Source organism: Homo sapiens, chromosome 1 (assembly GCF_000001405.40).
Source record: "Homo sapiens chromosome 1, GRCh38.p14 Primary Assembly".
Taxonomy (NCBI): domain Eukaryota; kingdom Metazoa; phylum Chordata; class Mammalia; order Primates; family Hominidae; genus Homo; species Homo sapiens.
In genome coordinates, this window is record NC_000001.11 from 233,478,949 (window position 1) to 233,482,477 (window position 3,529).

Consider the following 3,529-nt stretch of genomic DNA (forward strand, 5'->3'; position numbering starts at 1 on the left):
AAGGAAAAGCCAGGGTGAAATGAGGAGGCATTTCTCTGTAGATTTCTGGCAAATCTAAAGGGATCTGAGGAGAAAAAGGCCTGGAATTTCTAAATTCCTGTAATTTGTTATGAATTCTTTATACATTCTTAAAAAAGTCACTTTTGAACTCAATTTTGTATTTTTTTCTTAAAGAGATGTCTTAAATGATATTAGCTTCAGGCCTCACAATACCTAGATCCATTGCTGTGCTTAGCTCGGTAGTGAAAACATATTTGACTAATTTGTTTATTCTCTTCCTACTAATCAAATATCCAAACTGCAGGAGCCCTGTGTTTCATTAACTTTACACCTGCTGCACTTGCCCTCTAGACACAAAACAATATTTTATTCCCATTCAAGGAATACCCTGCTCCTCTCCTCCCTCATGCCACCATTTCATATCCACCAGGGGTCCACATTTGCCACTGAAGCCTGTCGCCATTCCTGTAATGATAGTACCACTGTTTACCTCAGTGACACACACTATGTTTACAAGATTGTTCCTGAGTGCCATAGGGCCAAAATTAGCTATTTTTCCAGGGGAAAAGACTTCAAACTCATTATCTTTAGGAAATGCAAAATCTATTTAGCTAGAAAAACCTAGGAAATTTAGTAGTTTCTGAACATTGGCATCAAGTATTGAAAACAGAAACAAGACCTTCACTAGGTAAATAACCAGCCTCACTAAGCAGTGAGTCAACACAACTTTGGACCTACTGAATATGACAAATGAGATCTAGGTAGGGCTGTCAAAGAGAAATGGGCAGAAACGGAAGTCTGGCCACCCAGAAGGCAGAGGGTAGGGTGGGTCTGGTGAATTTCAAAAAGAGCTCAGAAATCTGTTGGATCAAATATTAGACATACAGGTCGATATCAGTCTTGATTCTTTAAATCTGTCTGCCTGTGGCAAAAATTCCAGGCAGCTGGGAAGGGACAGACAGACATGATCTAGTCTCTGATGAGAGGAGGAGGCAGGAAATAGTTAAGTTGGTCTAGTATGATCACACTTTCAACAAAACAAGAAGGATTTCTCAGGAACACTGGCAACTGAATTTTGATTTAATAATTTGGACATTTAAGTTTGTAATCTTACCAAAACAGAGCACTGAGGTATATGGAATTTGAGCCCCAACTTCCCACACCTATAGTTGTATTGTAGGTTTACAACCTCACTGTGGTTTCAAGGTAGGGAGAGTGTACTTCCGTACCCCTTAACTTTGAATCTTGCCATTTGACTTCCTTTGGCCAGTAAGATGTTGGTGAACATGGTTCAGACAGAGACATTCAGATATGTTTGTGCCTTTGGGCTTATATCCACACAGCGTGGTAGCCTGCCACGAGCAGAACATGCTCCAAGTTCTTCCTTGCCCTCAGCTCGTGTCTGAGAGGGAGGCACATGGAGCCAACCACATGTCCTGGCCGGTTCCTAAATTAAGAGGCATGAGAGGCATGTGGAGCCACACTAAACCCTTACGAGCCTGGAGTCGAGCCAAGCTCAACTATATTGCACTCAACCCACAGACCTGAAACTACACATTTTGGCTTTTTCAGCCAATGAGCGTTGAGTATTTTTATGCATCATTATTGTGGAACTTGCTGACTAACACTGAAAATGGGGTACTGCCATAACAAGAACCAAAATTTCTGGAATTAGTTTTGATAATAAGAGGCAGAAATCAAGCCAACTGCCATGGAAGGCTAAACAATGGTAACCCACACACCATGTAGTGGAAAAGCATTTGGTAAAACTGCTTGCCTTTGGGACTCTGGAAAAAGAAAACATACCTAAAAAACTTTTAGTTTTGGGTGAGGAAGTATGAAGGAAGAATGTTGAAAGCAGAAACTGGTTGCTACTAGATGAGCTTTGTGAGGTACTGCAGGTAAGAAGAGAGAAACTCAGCAAAGAACCAGCCAGTTTGCAAACAGAACTGAGAAGGATATTAGGGAGTTCAGAAATTGCAGGGCAGAGTTATACAATGAAATTGTTTCTTACAAAATAAAAGATGTGGCCATTATAACAGAGCCTCAGGGCGCAGACCAAACCCAAGGTGCTGCTAATATGACACAGTCTTGGAGTGAAAAGTGTGTCAAGGGTAACATCTTTTGTTAAGACATCTGAAAAGGCTTAAGATGGAAGCTAGTAGGTCTCTTCAGGTGGGCAAAGAGGCTCTTAGAAAAGGTTATAAGACTTGTTCCTACAGAAGTCTGATGTCTCAGAAGTACCCATAATTAAGTCAACTCCAAAATGGAGTTGACTAAAATCACTTTCATAGAAAATCCACATTTGTGAGAGAGCTCTATTGGCAAAAACCCTGCCAGCCTGATGAAAAGAGACGAAGACTGTTAGAGATGTAAAAACACCTCTTGGGCAGGTGCTCACACCTCTAATCCTAGTGCTTTGGGAGGCTGAGGCAGGAGAATTGCTTGAGGCCAGGAGTTGGAGACCAGCCTTGAGCAACATAGTGAGACCCTATCTCTACAAAAAATTTTTTTTTTTAATTAGCGAAGCATGGTGGCACACACCTGTAGTCCCAGATACTTGGGAGGCTGAGATGGGAGTATCATTTGAGCCCAGGAGTTCCAGGTAAAAGTGAACTATGACTGTGTCACTGCACTATAGTTTGGGCAACAGGGCAAGACCACGTCTAAAAAATAAAGAACTTTGCCCTCCAATTTTCTTTCTTTTTAAAATTTATTTATTTTACAAAAGCATCAGATTAGTGAAAATTTTGTTAAAGTTATTTGTTTATTTTTACAAAATACCCTCCAACTTTCCATAGTCAGAAAGCCTATACAGAAATCTGCTTATTGCCAAGAAGGGCATATATATATATATATGTATATATATATATTTTTTTTGTATAAAAATATGTGTTTATAAATATAAATGTTTTTATATATAAAACATATCTATAATATATACTTATTTATATATTTATATATAATACATATGTTTAAATGTGTTTTATATGTTATATAAACATATAAACTATGTACTTATATATTATATATAGTACATATTAAATATATATTACACATATATATTTGTACATAAAATCTTGACCTCATGAGGATCAGATTTGTTGTCAAGTGCTGCGATTGGATGAGATTTTGTGGGTCTAATGATGGAAAGTGAGTGCATTTTGAAGGTGGGGGTATATGTTAATAATTGGGACCTATAGGGCAGACCATGGTAAATTAAATTGCTGGTCCCAATTCTTCACTCCTTGGTGGCAATATCTTATATCTACACACTTGCCATCACCATGGCCTCTAAGAGGGTGGATACACTTCCCTGCATCTTGACTTTAGTCTTTGGCATGTGGCTTGCCTTGGCCAGTGAGATGATCGTTGAAAAAATGTGAGCAGGCATTTGCTCCTATGGTTAGACTTTTACTCGTGTGCTCCAGAGAAAAACATTCCCAAAGTGAACACTTTAGCTGCTCCCTTAGACTGGGCCCAGGACTGAAACCCATGGAGCAGATTATATGCACCGGGATCTGCTGGG